The sequence below is a fragment of the Homo sapiens genome, chromosome 12 (assembly GCF_000001405.40).
Source record: "Homo sapiens chromosome 12, GRCh38.p14 Primary Assembly".
Lineage (NCBI taxonomy): Eukaryota > Metazoa > Chordata > Mammalia > Primates > Hominidae > Homo > Homo sapiens.
This window is the reverse complement of record NC_000012.12, coordinates 43,271,924-43,291,992: the sequence shown is the minus strand read 5'-3', so window position 1 is coordinate 43,291,992 and position 20,069 is coordinate 43,271,924. Positions and strand designations below refer to the sequence as shown.

Genomic DNA, 20,069 nt, shown 5'->3' with positions numbered 1-20,069 from the left:
ACTATCTCATAAACTGATCTGTTATCAGTCATGCCTCAAACCCATTTTTCACTGAAAATGAATAGTGCTTGCATAAGACCAGTTTTCAAGAGGATAATTGGCAACGAGCAAGCCTACTAATATACAGGTATCATATTTTTAATGGTCTGATTCCTTTTCTTTCCTTAAGAATAAAGCAAGGGATAATTGTGACTGATTCCTGCTGCTTCCTTATATGGCTGCTACATCCTACGGCAGCCCTGGAGGCGGTAGGCTGCCAGTAATGTCTGAGTGACTAATAAGATACAGTTATGTTAGAGATGTTGTGATCAACTCATAGCTGGTGTGTGAGGTCAAGTAGCTGGCTAAGGGGGTAGCAGCCAGCAGACCCAAAGCACAAAGAAAAAAAGTCATTGCCATCCAAGAGCAAATTGGAAGTATTAGGTTGATGCAAAAGTAATTGTGGTTTTTGCCATTGAAAGTAATGGCAAAGTCCACTATTACTTTTGCACCAACCTATCTGACTATGTGTTATTTAAAAAACAAAAAGCGAAAAACAAACAAAAAAACCCAGCAAGTCTCTTAGGCCATGAGACCCACCAAACATGGGAGCCCAAATAAGCGGCAGTGTAGTAAACTGTATCACTGAATAATTGAATATCTGGCAGGACGAATTTTATGTATTGCTTGATAGATAACATTTGCTTATTTAAAACAAGCTCAGATAATGAGTTGGGTGCTTCGGCAAAAGGATCTAAAGCAATTTCAGTTTCATCTCTTTTTAGGTTTAAATCACCTCTCTTTTATTTCATTTCCTGATTAGAACTCTTAGCAAAATAACTGTCTCAGACACGTATGGTCACTAAGTCTGATCCACGAACACCCAAAGGCATGTGTGTGTATATGCTCATGTGTATGAGTGTGTGTGTGATATTTCCTTCAGACATGCTCTGACCCTAGGGGGCACTTGAATCCTCCTCCTTTATGGGTAACTGAAATGGGCCAATGCTGGATTATCTCCAAACTGACTAACACTGGTAGGATAGTTTGGTTTAAGAACTATTCCAGATCTGTTTGTAGTTGCATCTTATTACAGTCTAGATTGAAGTTGGTTTCTTGTTGCTGCCTAAATCTTTCTTGAAGCCATCCCAAAAATATAAGGTTCCTCTAGATTAGAGGAGTCTCAGTATGACTCCAAAAGAAACTGATTCCTTTTGGCTTCCGACTGACTTAGACCCAAACCTCTCCAAATGCAATGATGGAGAGAGCAAGTTTCCGGACACTTTCTGCCCCATGAAAATTATCTATAACTATGTTGTCAAATATAGTAGCTACTAACTACATATAGCTTTTAACATTAAAATTCATTAAAATCAAATCAAATAAAAAATTTCATCCCCTAGTTCCAAGGATCAACTTTTCACATGTTCAATAGCCAAGGTCCATATATAGCACAGATATAAAACATTTCCATCAATACAGAAAGTTCTATTAGGTATCTAAACATAGATACCAATTGTTTGTCGAATTTTAGCTTTGCTCTACTTAAGCAAGCAAACACATTTGTGGTAATATTAACAATCATGCATCTTCCACTCATGTTTCACCATTAGTGACACTATTATTAATCAAGGATACATCCAGGAGAGGGAAGATTATTGCTTGATAAGAGCACTGTTTAGTTTCCTAAGCCAAAAGTTTGCAGTAGACTTCAAAGCTAGTGGTATCTTGGGGCTTCCAATAATCATGTGTTGAAGAATGGAGAAAAATTCCATTTTCAATACCTGTTCAGCACTTTATGCTTCCCCTTCTAAAATGCTCATCAGGCTTATAAATACTTATGCAATATCTATCATCCCCACTAAATTGTAAGACTTCACTGCAACTGACACTGCATCTATCTAGCTTATCATTATAGCCTCAGCATCTGGTACCATGCCTACAATATATTTATTGCACAATATATATTTGTTTAATGAATGAATTAATAAATCTTAACTTTCTAAATATCACTCATGGATAAAAATGCCAATTTCTTGGGGTTACTGTGAGGATTATGTGGAACAGTGTAAATGAAGTATTTGACATGTGCCTGATGTGTAAGAGGTGTTCCAGTACTACTTCCTCTCCCACCCTTTGATTAATAGGAACTTGGGTCACTTGGATCCATAGGTCAGAGAGACTTTGGTCAAGCTGACAATTTCTCTAAGTCTTAGCAGTTGTGCTCCTTCCCTTTGATCAGAAGCTTGGCTTAAGTTATTAACTACAAGGGGAAAAAAATGAGTTCGGTTCTGTGATTTGGCACTAAGGCAGCCATTCTCCAAGGGAACAAAGTACTAACTCAGAACAGCTAGGTTCATAATTCATGCTAGAAATCTCTTCAAGACTAAAATTCTGGCCTTTTTCCAACCGTCCGGTTCGTTCAGGCTTCTCTTTTCCTATCAGAATTCTGAAAGCAAAACTGTGCCAACAATTAAGTGTTGAAACCATTCCTAGAGATTCCTAGACACGAATTAGTACTGCAGGGCCAGTTTGAGGGAGAAATTTGGAATGAATGGAACTTTAGGATGGGCATTTACAGTCTTTTTGTTTGCCCTTGCTCTGTGGTTTCAGCTCTCCCTTAAAATGTTACCTTTGTATATTTCAGAGGCGGAAGGGATGACACGTTCTTGTTTAGCTTAGAGGCAGTTATTAGAAACACCAGTTTTAAGATGTATTAAGCAAAAAGGGGAAAGACCCTAAGTGTTTTGCAGCGTAGTCCCACGTATTATGGAACATGTTGTGGAAAAAATGTTTAGCCATCTGCTAACGGATATTAGGAAAAGTGGAGACTGTGTTAAAAAATAAAGCGTCGGGTTGTCCTTTGCAGAAAGTTAATAAAAAGAAGGAAGTGAAGACTGCTCATTATTTTTAATGACTCTGCTTTCCTGCAGAGTGCCCATATCTCCCAGCCTTTACATTCTGCCATTCTGCCTTCTTCCAGTTCATTACAGCACACTAAACTGCTCCTTAGAATGATGGCTTTGTTCTAAAGCAGAGTTCATCAAGAGGCGCGAAGTCCCAGGCTTAGCGGTTGTTAATCACAGTTCCAGGGGTAGGTAATGACGCAAAGATGAGCCCAGGACGTTGTCCATGGAACAGTCACCAAACCTGACTGCCCTGAACTTCCTTCTCAGCATGTCTGAATTGTTACAGGGATTCAGCCCTCAAATGCCTTGTTGTACTTGGGGGGTGATGTAAGCTTCAGCCGCTCATAATAGTTCTTATCTGGTAAACCAGAGACACCACGGTGTGGTTAGAAGTAGTCTTCGTCCTTGAAAATTTCATGTAGTATATATTTACATCATACTTGCCTTTCTAGTTTTATTTTTTTCAGTATATACTATTTGCATGTGTAAACTTTGTGCTATACATTTAGAGTAAGGAGCTTTCTGTGCTATCATTGACTGTGGATGGACTGAGATCTCACAGATAAATCATGAAAAGTGCATAATAAATTCATCGTAGTGAGATGAAAAAGTAGTAAAAGTAGTAAGTATTCCTTCATTCCACCATGAGGCTAAAACAAGGTAAGCTGTTTAATCTGGGCATATATATGATAAGGCAGTAAAACAATGTAAACGTGCACAGACGCGCACACACACACACACACACGCACACACACGGAATGAAAATTCCAGCTCCAAACTATATTGGGTAAACCTGCTGTCTTTATTTTATATCTATATGTATATCTACATTACTCTTTCCAAATAAGGACTAAAATGGCTGTGTAGGAAGCCCTTTGAACTTTGTATTTACAAGTCCATGTGTTCGAAAAAGAGATAAGCCCCCTCTGGAGAGTGCCCAGCTGGATAAAGGACACGCAGCTCTCTCTCCAACGTGGGACTGGAGTAAGACATGCCGCAGCAGCATTTTCTCTGAACTGAAGAAGGTGGCGTCTCTTGACTTTCTTCAGGCAAAATCATAAGAGATTTACCTATTTATAAATTCAAGAATTGGAGTGATACTCTGCTTGGTTTACTTTTGTTTCCATGTGAGCATATGCGTTTTTAAAATAAAAAGTAAGTGGATCTTTTTGCCAAAAGTTTTCAGGCACCATATCCTTTAAAAAAGCCTTGCTAGAAATAAAGTATATGTTTATTCATTAGCTGTCAGGCACTTCTGGGCTCAGTACCCATACACACAGGCTGTTTAATGCGGAGTTTAATAACATTTATATAGAACCGTTCTGGGGACTATCTTGGTAGAGAAATATCCATACTGACAAAGCATATTGTTTTGCTTGTCTTCATCCAGTGAAATAGGAAAATAGGATTGCCCCCACCCTATCTAAATGCTGCCATGCTGTTGATAAAAAAAATAATAATAATCCACTTTACCGTCATGCTAGAAAGTGAAGAATGAAACCAGGCAGCCAATTTGAAAGAAAAATGAACATGTTTTAGATTTCCCCAAAGCCCAGTAGAGATCGAGTTAGAGCTATTTTTACCCCCTCCCCAAATGATTTAACTTTGTCTCTTGACAACGATCTAGAGTTGCCTGATGTATTTAGTTTGGAAGAGACAAACTTGATAAGCTGCTGAGCAGAAAACTAATTAGGAAAGAAAGGGTTCATTGGATTGCAGGAAAAATAACAAAATGAACAAAGGAAAGAAAGTAAGTGTTCTGTTCTGTCATTAGTTGGGCTCATACTGTGCAGAAGGGAGTTACCAAAGTCATTTCCCCAACTGCCAGGCCTCTGTAATTGACTTATTATTAGAATCCATAGGAAAATAACCAAGTGTGGTCAGGACAACTCAATCAAGAAGCTGGTGATGTGGGAAGGGAAAGGCATGGGGAGAAACAATAGCGACCACAGCTAACCTTAGCGAGTGAAGAAACACCATGTAGGGGCTGCAGTTAATTGTTTAATCACATTGATGTCTAAACTATGCTATTAAGAGTTACTAATTGAGATGCTTAATTGCATTTGCATTTCAGGATGGAAGGCTTCCTTGAGCCTTGTGGTGTAGGTATACAATATTCTAAGTGTGTGCACATGTGCATGTGTCTGTCTTTTTTGTTTGTTTGTTTCTGAGATGCAGTCTTGCTCTGTTGCTAGGCTGGGGTGCAGTGGCGTGATCTTGGCTCACTGCAACCTCTGCCTCCCGGGTTCAAGCAATTCTCCTGCCTCAGCCTCCCGAGTAGATGGGACTACTGGCGCACACCACCACATCCAGCTAATTTTTGTAATTTTAGTAGAGACGGGGTTTCACCATGTTGGCCAAGATGGTCTCGAACTCTTGACCTCATGATCCACCCGCCTTGGCCTCCCAAAATGTTGGGATTACAGGCATGAGCCTGGCCATGTGTATGTCATTTTTTGTATGTTTGCAAAAGAATGATTTGAGGAGAAGTTAGAGTGGAGAAAAGTTTTTGTTGCACAAATCATTGGTTGGAATTGTATCATTTAAAGGGGTAAAATTTATTAGTGGTGGATTAGGTTATGTTATCCTCTTGAAGACGCAGTTTGCTCCTTTATAAGAGGCAGTGTGAACCTACTCATGAATTGTTTATGAGTGTTGAATGAGATGATGTGTGTAAAGCATGCTTTAGATGTATTTATGTATTTACTTATTTTTTAAAGACAGAGTCTTGGTCTGGTCACCCAGGCTGGAGTGCAGTGGCATGATCATAGCTCACTGCAGTCTTGGACTCCTGGACACAAATAAACCACCTGCCTCAGCCTCCCAAATATCTAGGACTACAGTCATGTGCCACCATGCCTAGCTATATGTTGTTGTTGTTGTTCAATCAGATTTCCCAGGTTGAATAATTTTTATTCGTCTTTTTTTGTAGAGATGGGGGTCTTGCTATGTTGCCCAGGTAGGTCTCAAACTCCTGGCCTCAAGTGATCCTCCCACCTCAGCCTCCCAAAGTGCTGGGATTACAGGCATGAGCAACTGTGCCTGGTCAAGCATACTTTAATATCTATATAGGAACAAATAAATATTAACTCATTTTTCACCACCCTGAGACCTATGTTGAATAGCCACCTCCTTCTGCAACCGACTTGGGACAAAAAAAATGAAAAAAAATCACAGTAAGTTACTGAACAGGAGAACTACACTTACCGATGTCTGAACATATAAAGAAGGTTAGGGTAGGGTGAAATGATACTAAAATACGTATTCAGCAGATTGTTGGCTTTCAATTTAATTGCCTCTCTATTCTACTCTGATTACTTTGGATGCTCTAGGGTGGCACAATGGGAACCTATTGTTAGTAATAAACCTAGATTTAGGCTAAAAATAACTTTAAACAGTTCTACCTCTTTCATCCTTTTGCCTGTCAAAACTATTGAGGTAATAAATTTCAAGTGCCAGCATGGAGAGAGAATTCCCAAAAATAGATCATGTTATTAAGAGCCTTGAGGAAATACTCTATTATAATTTGCTTCCTAGATAATTTTGTAAAATAGATATACAAGAATTATTGCTCAATGATCATAAAATTCCTGTGGAATTACATACTCTAGTAGTCAGTATGAACTCATTTTGGCCCACATGTTATGATAGTGAATACCACAGTGTTGTGGTGAAGGGTCAGAAAAGACAGAGAAACAAATGATGTAGGTGATCAGGAAGCCAAAACCGAGAGCAGAGGAGCTAAAGACAACAATGAGCCTGAACTGAGAAACAAGAAGGAGGTTGGGGGTTTGCGGAATGAAACTTCTTTGTACTTTATTTGAAGATTCACTTCACGAAAATGTTGCAATACTGTTTCCATCTCCAAAAGAATAAAGTCCTAGGTTTGGTAAGGAAGAGTAAATGGAAATTGCAAAAGGTCGTTTTCTTCCCAGAACAATATAAAAATTTTGGCTGCCTTTTCTGGCAGAGAAACATTGAATTATATTTCTTTTTCATATAAAATATGGCCTTTCTATGAGATAAGTCTTTAGGGAAATGAGCCAACATCCTTTCCCACCCTTACAAGCTGTCAGATTATTTTATTTGCTTTGTAAATTTGAATTTGCTAGAAATTATCCATAGAGATGGGCCAAATAGAAGAAATCAAAGTGATATACCACACACAATCACAGTCAACTCAATGTGAATGCAGTTCCTCATGGACTGATTCCAGACTGTCATTTTCTAAATCTCATCCATCAGTAGTCAAAACAACCTGAAGTTATTTGGTTTAGTTTTATCTGATAAACAGGGTCAGGTCTGGACAGCACCTTACAGAGAATTCTTTGGGAAATCTTAGCCCAGAAAGCAAGAATGTTAAAGAAGTTGCACTTTTCCCAATCAAGTTGAACCCATGGGGGAGGATATTTGATCTACTGGATGAATGAAACAGAACTGGATCTTGGTTCATTTTTACTCATTAAGAACTCCACATGCTTTCTGCCAAAGATTTTGCAATATCAGCTGAAACTCATTCCAAGTTGTCGTCCATATTCAAATATGAGACAATTCTATATTCCATCTCGTCATTGCTATAGTAAAAATGGTTTGTTTCCTTTTTCTGTCATAATGCTTCTAAGTTTTATATATTATGATGCTCTTCAGAAAGCTCCTTACATACAGTGGATATTCTCTAAGTTACTCTGTCAATAATGATGTAAAGTAGATCCACAAGTTACTTTTCTACCTAAAACCAATCACTAACAATAAGGTCGTGCATTAATAAAAGACTCTTGACTAGAAATCTCATCACATTTGATCATTAGTTATATCATAAAACCATGCCTGCAGTTTGACTTAGGTATCTACCACTGTAACCCCAGCACCTAAAAGCAAGCCTGCCATATCATTAAAACTTAATAAATATTGGTAGAATGAACAAATGCATTGAAGAAAGACTATAAGCCTAATAACTTTATTTAAAATGCTATTTCATGCCTTACCAGCAAATCTGTAAATGCCTTCTTCTATGAAAATGAATTACATCTAGATACTGCCTGATAACCTTCAGTTTAGTTGTAGAGAAGAAAATATAAATGGATAAATAGTAAAACCACCATCAGAACGTTGGGGTTAGAAAAAGGTTAAGAATAGTGTTATGAGAGTTAAGAAAGGAGACAGGGAATGATTAGCTAAAAGAATGAAGAAAGCTTCTTAGAAAAGGTGGATAATGATAGTGCCTTGAAGAATAGCTAGAAGTTTTTGTGATAAAAAAAAGACTGGAGTAAAACATTGTCCGGCAGTGTCTGGAGCTGGACAGCCTGAGTTCAAATTATAACCTCAACTAGTGCATTTAGCCATGTAATACTGGTGAAATTACTTAACCACTCTGTGTAAAATGAAGATGGTAATATTTTCTACCTGACAGGGTGGTTGTGAAGAGGATGCTAGCTACTCTATGAATTTTCCTGATAAAAGCACAATAGCAGATGAGTGGCACCTCTAGTAACAGATAATCTAGTTAACACTTAACCTGTGAAATATAATATTGAAATATAATATTGAAAGCATTCAAATAACATTACTAACAGCATATCTCAGAACATTAGGCCATCTTTGAACATGTGGCTCTAGACTGCAAACAGCCACAGCCAACCACTGAGGGACTCTCTCTGTCCTGTGTGGACAGACTGGATCCTTAGTAGTACTTCTATGACTTGGTGCAAGTCATCACCACATGTGCAGTGGTAGTAACACTAAGATTTCTCATTTGGCAACCAGCACATTTGACAAGAATATGAAACACTGGTGGGGTGGGGGATGGGAGCACAGGGGGCATGTGTATTCTTAGATTTAAACCTGTAGCTGCTCTTTTGTAAAATCCTTCTAATAAATATAACTTTCCTTCATGCTTTAAGGAAACATTTTTCATAGGATGTGAAGGATTTATGGTGGAAACTGCCTCACTGGAGATTCTAGGAAGCATCTTCACAGGGCCTAATGCTTTCTTACTTGGAACTCTCAAAGAAATGCAATTGAAGTGGCATATGATTCCTAAAATCATGGCAGGGCATTCGTCATTATCCTCATGAATATGGGATGAATGTTAGCCCTGTTCATTTAGTTTCTTCTGATCTAAGATCTTTTTATCCTGAAATTTCCACCCATAGTTGGCCTTTCATATCAAGCACAAAGACTTATGTACATTTTGTCTGATTCAATAACCTCTGGAGGAAGATAGCTAGTGTTATAGAAATGGAAAATTAATTAATAATACCATAGTATGCTCTTTTGTGCATCTCCATTATAGAGCAGCAATATGAGAAATTACTGGCTCCAACAAACAGGCATGTTTGTGTTGCTTTTTCTCAATTTGTGCAAGAACAATGAAAATCAGAATATTACTGTGGACAGATTTAACTCTGGGAACATAGAACTTCCTTCCAGTGCAATCATTTCAGTTACCTTTTCAAAAGGAAAATGAAACTTATTTTAAAAGCCAGGCTTACTTGAACTCAATGTACCCCCTGAGATCTGCCCCTCCCCACAATTGAAGCTTGTAACAGTGTTGTATTACAAAGACTATGAAGGAAATTGTACTCACTTTAAAATTATTTTCTTCCAATAAGTTCTTGTCTTCTTAATGAAATATATCATGTATTTACACATCATATTATCAAAAAGAGAAGACAAATAATTTAGCTTATATTATTAAATATGGCTAATTTAATATCCTACCACTACAGAAAGAAAATATTTGATTACTAAAACTGTTTTACTTTGAGGTGGACAAGAGAGGGCAGTCATGTATTTCATATCTAATTGTGCATACATTTTTCAGCTGTAAAGGATTGATTGGAGGAAAATGATTTTTTCAAAGGATTGCAAAAAATGTAAAATTAATATAAAACATTGACACACACATACTATTTTTTATAAGTAAAAACAAACAGGAAAAGAAACTTTTGGAAGATTACTATATAAATTGCTTTAAAGGTATTTGAGCAACCACATTAAAATAAGAGCAGACATAAAAATCATTTTCTGCTAGGCTTGATTTAATTCAATCTAAAATAAACAACCATTTAAAAATAATACTATTTGAAAAGAAAAGGAGAAAAACTCTTTTACAATCAAAATTTCACAGAAGCTAAATTTTGACTTGAAAAGAATGATGTCCTCTGACCTATAATATATAATCAAAATTGACAAAATTTATAACGGAAAAGAAGGGAATGGTCTCAACTCAGTTCCAACGAAAAGTCTGTTCCTGTCCCAAAGTACCTCCTAGTGACCTCCCATGAACCAGCCCACTGAACTGTCTGTGTGTAGGGGAGGTTGAGCTTGCAAACACTGTGTTGCTACAGGCCAGGAGGGAGCCAAGGGACAGGGCCTGCCCTGAGTCCTTGCCACTGCTGCCATTTTTTGCCCCCAGCACCACTCCATTGCATATCTAAAACATTTTCCTGCGGAGGATCCTAGAGCTTTGCAACTGAATTTCCTGAAATTTTTCAGCAGCCAGGTGTTAAATATAAAATCCCAGTAAAAGCCTTCAGAAAGATTTTCTTAGTTGACCTCAGAAGGAAAGGAGCCCTGGGGACAGCATCTTTATCCAAAGATCAAAATGTGAGGCAAACAGCCAGAAATAATCAGAAGCTTCAAAGCAAAGAAAGAAATCAGACTTTTTTCTTTTTTTTTCTGAAAGATAAGGGATTGTTCATTATAATCTTCTTCACAAGTATTCAGAGCTGGAGAACAAGTTTTAACTTTTGCTTTTTCTAATGTTTTAATGTTTTTATGCTCTTAAAGCTTTGTGTCTTATAATGGGAAAACTCAAAGCCCACTGGGTAGTCAGTTGCAGAGCAGAACTGTCTCCCCAGTCAATTTCAGTTTTTATCAAGACAGAATGCTCTGCAGAGGTAGATACATTTGTGAATTTGATCTTGTTGTTTATTGATCCTTACACAATTCTCTTAAATTGTCATAATAACAGCTATTACTCTGACACATTATCAATGGGAAATGAGGATTCAGAACAAAAAGGAGCTCGTCCTATTGTTGGGTAGTGAAGTGAAAGCAAGATTCATTTATTCATTCAGGCTTATAAAAATAGGCAGTTGGAAAAAGGGAATGAACGAGTGAACACTTAGTAAGCTCTCTCAATAAACGTTGAGTTACTTCCACTTCCAAATGTTCACCAATCACACAGAGTCAAGAAAAAAAGAGATCTCAAGCAGATTTAAAGTAGAATCTCCAGGGCACTGTCTGTGGCAGATATTCTCAAATTTTTGGTCTCAGAACCCCTTTATACCCTTAAAAATTATGGACCCGAAAGAGTTTAAGTGAGTTATATCTAGTTACAATTATCATATTAAAAGTTAAAACTGAAATATATAAATTAATTCATTTAAAAATAACACTAATAACCATTTTCTTATGAAAAGGAACTACCGTCTTCCAAAAGTTAGTTATAAAAGTAGAATTGTTTGACAGTTTTGAACATCTTTTAAAGGTCTGGCTTCACGGAAGTTAGCTAGATTGGCAAATCTGTTGTGATTTGTTGCTTCAGTTGAAGTATATGAAAAAATCTGGTCTCATACACATATATAGTTGCAAAAGGGAAGAGTATTTGAATAGCCATTTTAGTAGTTGTGAATATTCATCTTTTACGTTACATCAAAATTCAAAAAGTGATAGTTTCTTAAAGATTAGTTGCAATATGAAATCTAAAATCATATTCATGAATGCTTTATAGCAGGGGTCCCCAACCTCTGTGGCTGGTCCGTGGTCTGTTAGGAACCGGGCTGCACAGCAGGAGTTGAGCAGCAGGTGAGCGGGTAAAGCTTCATCTGTATTTATTATATTTCTTTATTTCAGACAGAGTTTCATTTTTTGTGCCTAGGCTGGAGTGCAACGGCACGGTCTCTGCTCACTGCAACCTCCGCCTCCCAGGTTCAAGCAATTCTCCTGCCTCAGCCTCCCAAGTAGCTGGGATTACAGGCACCTGCCACCATGCCAGGCTAATTTTTGTATTTTTAGTAGAGACGGGGTTTCGCCTTGTTGCCCAGCTGGTCTCGAACTCCTGACCTAAGGTGATCTGCCTGCTTCAGCTTCCCAAAGTGTTGGGATTACAGGCGTGAGCCACTGAAAGCTTCATCTGTATTTACAGCCACTACCTCCATTGCTTGCATTACTGCCTGAGCTCTGCCTCTTGTCAGATAAGTGCAGCATTAGATTCTCACTGGAGCACAAACCCTGTTCTGAACTGTACCTGTGAAGGATCTAGGTTTCATGCTTATCATGAGAATCTAATGCCTGATGATCTGAGGTGGAACAGTTTCATCCTAAAGCCATCTCCGCCTACCCCCTGGTCCATGGAGAAATTGTTTTCCATGAAACTGGTCCCTGGTGCCAAAAAGTTTGGGGACTACTGCTTTATAGTCTGTCTAGTTCTGTACATTGGCCTATCTTGCACCTTTAGTGGATTTTTATCTATGCATGATTTTTGTAACATCATGATTTGTTATTTGGAATATATTGGTTCACTCTTTTACATGGTTCTTCCAAATGTACAGTGAAAAATGCCACTGTACACTTACGAGAGAATGAGCTTTTACACACAAATAATGTACTAGCATTATGCCAAAATTATTTGACTCACAGACTCTGTGAAAGTGTCTCAAAGACCCACAGGGACCCATGCTACTAGAGAGCAGCTGCTCTATGGCATCATCATGGCCTTTTTTCTCGACACTATTTAATAAACACTGTTTAAACTCTCTATTGCCCCTTCTACTCTCACAAGTACCTTCATATCACCACTTTGACCTTCTTTTGATTTACCATATACAGGTATTTCTCATTTCAGAAACTTTGTTACTTCTACTTGACTTCTAATAAAGCTTTAGTTTAGATGCTCCTTTTCCCAAGAATCCTACTCTGACTTTCCTTAATTTGGGTTAGGTATCTTGTCTTAGATATTACTCAAATTAATAACTTTTTTTTTTTGAGACGGAGTCTCACTCTGTCGCCCAGGCTGGAGTGCAGTGGTGTGATCTCGGCTCATTGCAACCTCGCCTCCCGGGTTCAAGAAATTCTCCTGCTTCAGCCTCCTGAGTAGCTGGGATTACAGGTGCCCGCCACCACGCCTAGCTAATTTTTGTATTTTTATTAGAGACGGGGTTTCACCATGTTGGTCAGGCTGGTCTCGAACCCCTGACCTTGTGATCCACCCGCCTCGGCCTCCCAAAGTGCTGGGATTACAGGCGTGAACCACCGTGCCCAGCCCTCAAATTAATAACTTATTTATTTGAAATTTCTAAGTAGATTAAAACCTTTAGGGACAAGAACCATAACCATCTCAAAAAGTATTTGACAGATACTATATTCTTCATAAATCTTTTTTTTCATTGTAACAAATATTTCAAAATAATGATATGGAACTGCAGGTAATGAGATGGGTTTCTACTGCATTAAATTCGATTTTTATCGGTCTATATTTGCAGTATTGAAGTAACTCAAGCCTGTTACGTGGAATTTTATCTTTGTAGGCAAAAATAAACTTTCTGCTAAAACTTTCCATTCTTCAAGGGACAGTTCAGGTTTCACTTCCTCTAAAACAACAATAAGTGTTTCTGATCACCTCTGTCTAACAACTATCGCTCATTCTTTTAAACATATGTAGCCCTAAAGTATTCTTATACTGCTCATTTGGCAACTTGCCACGTGTTCTTTATCTTGGAGTGCTGGTTACTTTGGGTCCATGTTTTCCCCACAAGTTCTGAGCTTCTCAAGAGTAGTGACCATGTCCTCTTTACTTTTGGAGCCTCCCTATACATTTCACATTTTCTTGGTACACAGCAGATGTTTAGTAATTGATTTTGATTTATTGGCTTTTTTTGTCATTGGAATCTCAGTCTTCTCTAAAGGACTGTTACGAAATATTTTATTGGTGATTTTTTAATTTGCAGTACAGCCTTTCTTTAAACTTGGATCTGGAGAACCTACATACACAATGAAGCAATTGTACATATAAGAAGAAAAGCACATCCAGTTCAAAGTCTTCTTGGGCACTCCCTGGTTATATTGTACAGGACTGTGACCCCAAATAATACATACTTTTTGAAAACATCTGAATTAGTAAGGAATAGTTAAAAGTGACAGAAACAAAATTTAAAATAACTTAAAAAGGAAATTTATCGGCTCATATAATTGCGAAGTCCATGGGTGGAGATGTTTGTATTTAAGCCTGACTAACTCCAGAAGCTCAAACAATGATATCAGCTTATCCGTCTTGTGGTTCTGTTTGTATTTGTGTTTCTCTTCCTGATGGCATCATTCTCTCATGCCTTAGACAGGATCTCAAAGAAGCTTACTCAGTGCTTGGTGCTTACAGCCTACAATCCACAAGGCAGAGACACATCGTCTCTCCAGCATCCAAATTTGAAATCTTGGTGGAAGCATTCTAACTGGTCCAGCTTAGTTCATGTGATCATCATTTGGACCAATTACTAAAGATAAAATGCTGGAATACCATGATGGGATAACTCTCAGCCCTATATGCACCAGTGTCATTCACAGGCTAGCCATAACCGTATGAGTTGGGTGGGGTGGTGTTGTAAAAGCCTGACAGAAGTTGATGTGCTGGACAGAAAAAGATTCTAGGTATCAACTATGCCTGGGTTCAAAGATTTCTCTGCAATAATATTAAATAGGTACTTGGTTAATGCAAGGAATATGTAAAGTTGGAAACAAAATAAAACATGTATTTGGGTTATTCAGATGGGAAAAACATTGGTTACTTGGAGGGGAATATTGTATTTCCTCTTTTAAAAGTAACTAAATTCTAATTTGGAAGAGAGATGTGTATTTACCATCATATTAGCTGTGGAATGTAGGCAAATTATTTACCCTTTCTGAGTTTCAGTTTCAGATCTAGAGATCAGTAGTTTTTAACTTGGGCTACAAATTAAAATCACTTGGGGGAGCTCTTAAAAGGAGCTCCTATCAGGAGACGCCCAGGCCTCACGCTAGACAACTTAAGTCAGTGTCTGGGATAGGGATTCAACGTGATTACCTTTATAAATCCAAAGGTCATCCTAATGTATTCCCAAAGGTGAGAATCATTTCTCTAAATTCTTTCATTCCTTTGGTATACGATACATGTATTAGTTGTAAACTATGTTATTTATATTTACTGGGTTTGGGGTTGTTTCTGTGTCAACCATGTCTTCTATTTTCTGGGTTCTGATGCTTTGACATCTGGGCCCTTGTTGACTCTGGAAGGACTCCCTGCCAAGGTTGATCAATTCCAAGAGATGGTAAACAATTTGCTCTTGAGCTCTTTTCAAATACCAACCAACCAACTCAGAGCCCATGCCCCAACCACCACCTCCTTTACCAGACTCTTACACTCCAAGACACTATCCACCTGCCCTAATCACCCAAGATCAGGTACCAGAAAACCAAGGACAGCCGACAGCCACTATGTCCTATAGCCACTATGTCCTAAATATGCTAAACTTATTCAAATGATCCAGTCCTAAACCTGCTTACCCTCTTCACCTGTTCTTTCCCAGGAAATCTCAATAATTGCTCTTGCCCACAGTTTCCCCTCCCTCTGCCTCCTGAATGACCGAGGTGTTTCCCCGTGTGGCCCTTTCATAACATGGTCAACCCCCTTTTTCTTTTTTTATCTTTTTCAAATTTTTATTTTACTTTAAGTTCTGGGATACATGTGCAGAACGTGCAGGTTTGTTACATAGGCATACGCATGCCATAGTGGTTTGCTGCACCTATCAACCTGTCATCTAGGTTTTAAGCCCCACATGCATTAGCTCTTTGCCGTGATGCTCTCCCTCCCCTACTCCCCAGCCCTCCAATAGGCCCTGGTGTGTGTTGTTCCCCTCCATGTGACCATGTGTTCTCATTGTTCAATTCCCACTTAGGAGTGAGAACATGCTCAAATTGTATTTCCCGTTCTAGATCCTTGAAGAATCCCCGCACTGTCTTCACAATGGTTGAACTAATTTACCTTCCCACCAACAACGTAAAAGCATTCTTATTTCTCCACAACCTCACCAGCATCTGTTGTCTCTTGACTTTTTAGTAATCGTCATTGTGACTGGTGTAAGATGGTATCTCATTGTGGTTTTGATTTGCATTTCTCTAATGATGTTGAGATTTTTTCCATATGTTTTTTGGTCGCATAAATGTCTTATTTTGAGAAGTGTCTGTTCATATCCTTTGCCCACTTTTTCATGGGGTTGTTTTACTCTTGTAAATTTAAGTTCCTTGTAGATTCTGGATATTAAAATTTTGTCAGATAGTTAGATTGCAAAAATGTTCTCTCATTTTGTAGGTTGCCTGTTCATTCTGATGATAGTTTATTTTGCTGTGCAAAAGCTCCTTAGTTTAATTAGATCCCATTTGTCAATTTTAGCTTTTGTTGCAATTGCTTTTGGTGTTTTTTTCATGAAATCTTTGTCTATGCCCATGTCCTCATTTATTGCCTAGATTTTCTTCTAGGGTTTATATGGTTTTGGGTTTTACATTTATGTCTTTAATCCATCTTGAGTTAATTTTTGCATAAAGTGCAAGCAAAGGGTCCAGTTTCAGTTTCTGCATATGGTTAGCCAGTTTTCCCAGCACCGTATATTAAATAGGAAATCCTTTGCCCATTGCTTGTTTTTGTCAGGTTTTTGTCAGGTTTGTTGAAGATGGTTGTAGATGTGTGGTGTTATTTCTGAGTTCTCTGTTCTGTTCCATTGGTCTGTATGTCTGTTTTGGTACCAGTACCATGCTACTTTGTTTACTGTAGCCTTGTAGTATAGTTTGGAGTCAGGTTGCCTCATGCCTCCAGCTTTGTTCTTTTTGCTTAGGATTGTCTTGGCTATATGGGCTATTTTTTGGTTCCATACGAAATTTAAAGTAGCTTTTTTTTTAATTCTGTGAAGAATGTCAATGGTAGTTTGATGGGAATAGCATTGAATCTATAAATTACTTTGGGCAGTATGGCCATTTTCATAATATTGATTCTTCCTATCCATGAGCATGGAATGTTTTTCCATTTGTTTGTGTCCTCTCTTATTCCCTTGAGCAGTGGTTTCTAGTTCTCTTTGAAGAACTCTTCTCTTTGAAGAGGTCCTTCACATCCCTTGTTAGCAGTATTTAGTATGAAATTTCAGTATGAAACTGAAACTCAGAAACTCGGGTATTTTATTCTCTTTGTAGCATTTGTGAATGGGAATTTATTCATGATTTTGCTCTCTGCTAGTCTATTGTTGGTGTATAGAAATGCTTGTGATTTTCGCACACTGATTTTGTATCCTGAGACTTTGCTGAAGTTGCTTATCAGCTTAAGGAATTTTGGGGCTGAGACAATGGTGTTTTCTAGATATAGGGTCATGTCATCTGCGGAGACAATTTGACTTCCTCTCTTCCTATTTGAATACCCTTTATTTCTTTCTCTTGCCTGATTGCCCTGGCCAGAACTTCCAGTACTATGTTGAATAGGAGTGGTGAGAGTGGTTCCTTGTCTAGGGTGCACCCCTTTTTCTTGGAAACTGTGAGTAACTATCTTTTAATGAAAATCATTTCCTGATCTGTTGTCTTCCTATACCTCAGATCTTCTATAAATACACTATCTTTTAAAACAGTTTTTTTCCAAGCATACTGTAAGTACTTTGAAGGAAGTGATTGCACTTCAAAATTTCTTAGTATCCCAGGACTGCTTAAGTATAGTTGGTATTATTTATTCAATAAATACTCGCTACTTGATTCCATTTAGGACCTACGGATTTAGGATATTATATGTTAAATTGAAAATTATTCACTGGAAAAACCTCAATATTCACTTAAACAATGTGGATTCAATCTGCTATAGTTCTTCAGGAAAATTGGGCTAGGATTATGTGAAAGATTATTATTAAGGGTTCCTATGTTCTCTGTTCAGTTCTTCCCTTCATATTTGTAGTTCATGTTTCTTAAAAAAAAAAATCCTGAACTAGACTTATGATTTGATATTTTAATAGCCTTTTAAAACAGATTCTCACCTGCTTTGAAAAACCAACACATACATGAGGCCAAGAACAGGTTAAAACCTGGTCACCTCATTAATACCTTTAGTGGAGGCCAAAACCAGGTTAAGACTCAGTCACCTCATTAGTATCTTGTTTAGGCACCTCCAATTTAGTAGCTAGGCAAAGTATTAATGAGTGACTGATTTTTAATCTACTTTTGGCTCTAGTGAAGGCACAGTGTTTCAGGCAGATTAGGGCATGTTTGAAAAATCCCTGTTAGACATCAGTAATGCAGCACAACTGTAGAAGTAGTATGATTTTAAGACTTAAGGATAGTATTAATGCCTTCTTACCATGTTTCAGACTTAAAGCAAAGTGCTTTTGCTGGTATTATGTCATTTCACGCACACCAGGACTCTATGTGGAAGACTGCCATTATCATCATTCAATAGGTGAGGAAAGAGACTCAGAAAGGTTGAGTCACTTATCAAAGTTCATACAGCAAATACTTGGCAGAAAATATCTGCCTGCCTTTAATGCAGTCACTTCCAGTTTCCTTCTCCCCGTTTCTGACTTCTTTTGAGAATAATCCCCAGGTGATTTTGATGCACAAATGGACATGACAAGTACTGAAGTCTGACAGTATTTTACAAACTGTGCATCATGACAAATTTGTGTGTCATGAAGTCAATTTGGTGGGTTGTAACAACTGTATAAAATTAAAATAGAATAAAATATAAACTATCAGAGTGCATTGCATATATTAGGTTGGTTCAAAAGTGATTGTAATTACTTTTAATTGCAAAAGCTGCGGTTACTTTTAATCACAAAAACCATGGTTACTTTTGCACCAACTGAATACTAAGGGTGAATATTTTTCTTGAGGTTTTTGCTTCAGTTAAAATAACATATAAATATGTATATATATATTTATATACATAACATGCACATACATCTATACAGGATCTGAATGAAAATGGATTCCTTGCTGTGATTATGGGTTGAAAATCATTTAGGCCAGGTGCGGAGGCTCACACCAGTAATCCCAGTACTTTGGGAGACTGAGGTGGGTGGATCACTTGAGGTCAGGGGTTCAAGACTAGCCTGGCCAACACAGTGAAACCCCGTCTCTACTAAAAATACAAAAATCAGCTGGTGTGGTGGCAGGCACCTGTAGTCCCAGCTGCTTGGGAGGCTGAGGCAGGAGAATCGCTTGAACCCAGGAAGTGGAGGTTGCAGTGAGCCGAGATAGCACCACTGCACTCCAGCCTGGCAACAGAGCGAGACTATGTCTCAAAAACAAAACAAAACAAAAACAAAATCCTTCTTCTAGGGGTTAGGAATTAACAGTAGGGGCCTGAGAAGGGCAGACTGCACTGTTGTTAGGGGAGAGCCTCACACTGCTGGAAGCGATTCTCCAACTAGTTTCTCCTCAGAGTGTCCTTGATGTGGGGTGAAGAGTCAATTAGAGCTGCAGGAATGGGACAGGCTTTTGGGATGGAATGCCCTACTGGTTTGTACAAGAAAAGAATGCCCTACTGGTTTGTCCTTTAAATGCAGAAAGTCTCATGTCTTTGTGGTTACTATCTCTGCTTAGTAGGCTGGAAGTTTTTCAGCTAATGCCGCTCATGTAGAGACATGTGACTTTGATTTTTACATGACAAACCTGAGATAGTTTGCATAAAGCTGGCTTGCTGTGAGTTATACTGTAATCCTCTCATGGCAACAGACAAGATGTTTCCTTATTTTTGCAGCTGCCACTGACTCTGGTTTGAACCAAACCACTGTCAGCTGCAGAACTGACACAACTATAATTTTTAATGCTAATAAAACGAATATGCTTCAAGAAGATGGGCGAAATAAATTGTACCAAATGTTGAAGTTTTATTTTTTCTGAACAATATTTCTTAGTACTTTGGGAAGTCAGTTTCACTTTGAGTTTTACTTTGGGGAGTTTCTTTGAATTATTCCCGTTTAACAGGGCAAAGATGAATTAATACAACCTGGCATATGAGCCCACACTGTCAAACCTGAGGTTTAATGAGGTAGCTATTACTTGAAAACAAAACAAAATAAATGCCAAATGCCCTTTTAAATCTGTTCTTAGAAGAAAGAAAAATTAAAGGATTCACAGTAATGTTGGGCAAAATATTGTTGTTGGTATTTTCCTGGAGGCTCC

General features: G+C 38.1%; 1 annotated feature.

Annotated features, from left to right (window-relative positions):
• Positions 19,180-19,767: an enhancer, noted in NCBI's record as "OCT4-NANOG-H3K27ac hESC enhancer chr12:43666029-43666616 (GRCh37/hg19 assembly coordinates)". NCBI's record gives its function as "activates a minimal SCP1, AML or CMV promoter by ChIP-STARR-seq in naive H9 embryonic stem cells {active_cell/tissue: H9 hESC(naive)}" and the evidence as "EXISTENCE:reporter gene assay evidence [ECO:0000049][PMID:30033119]".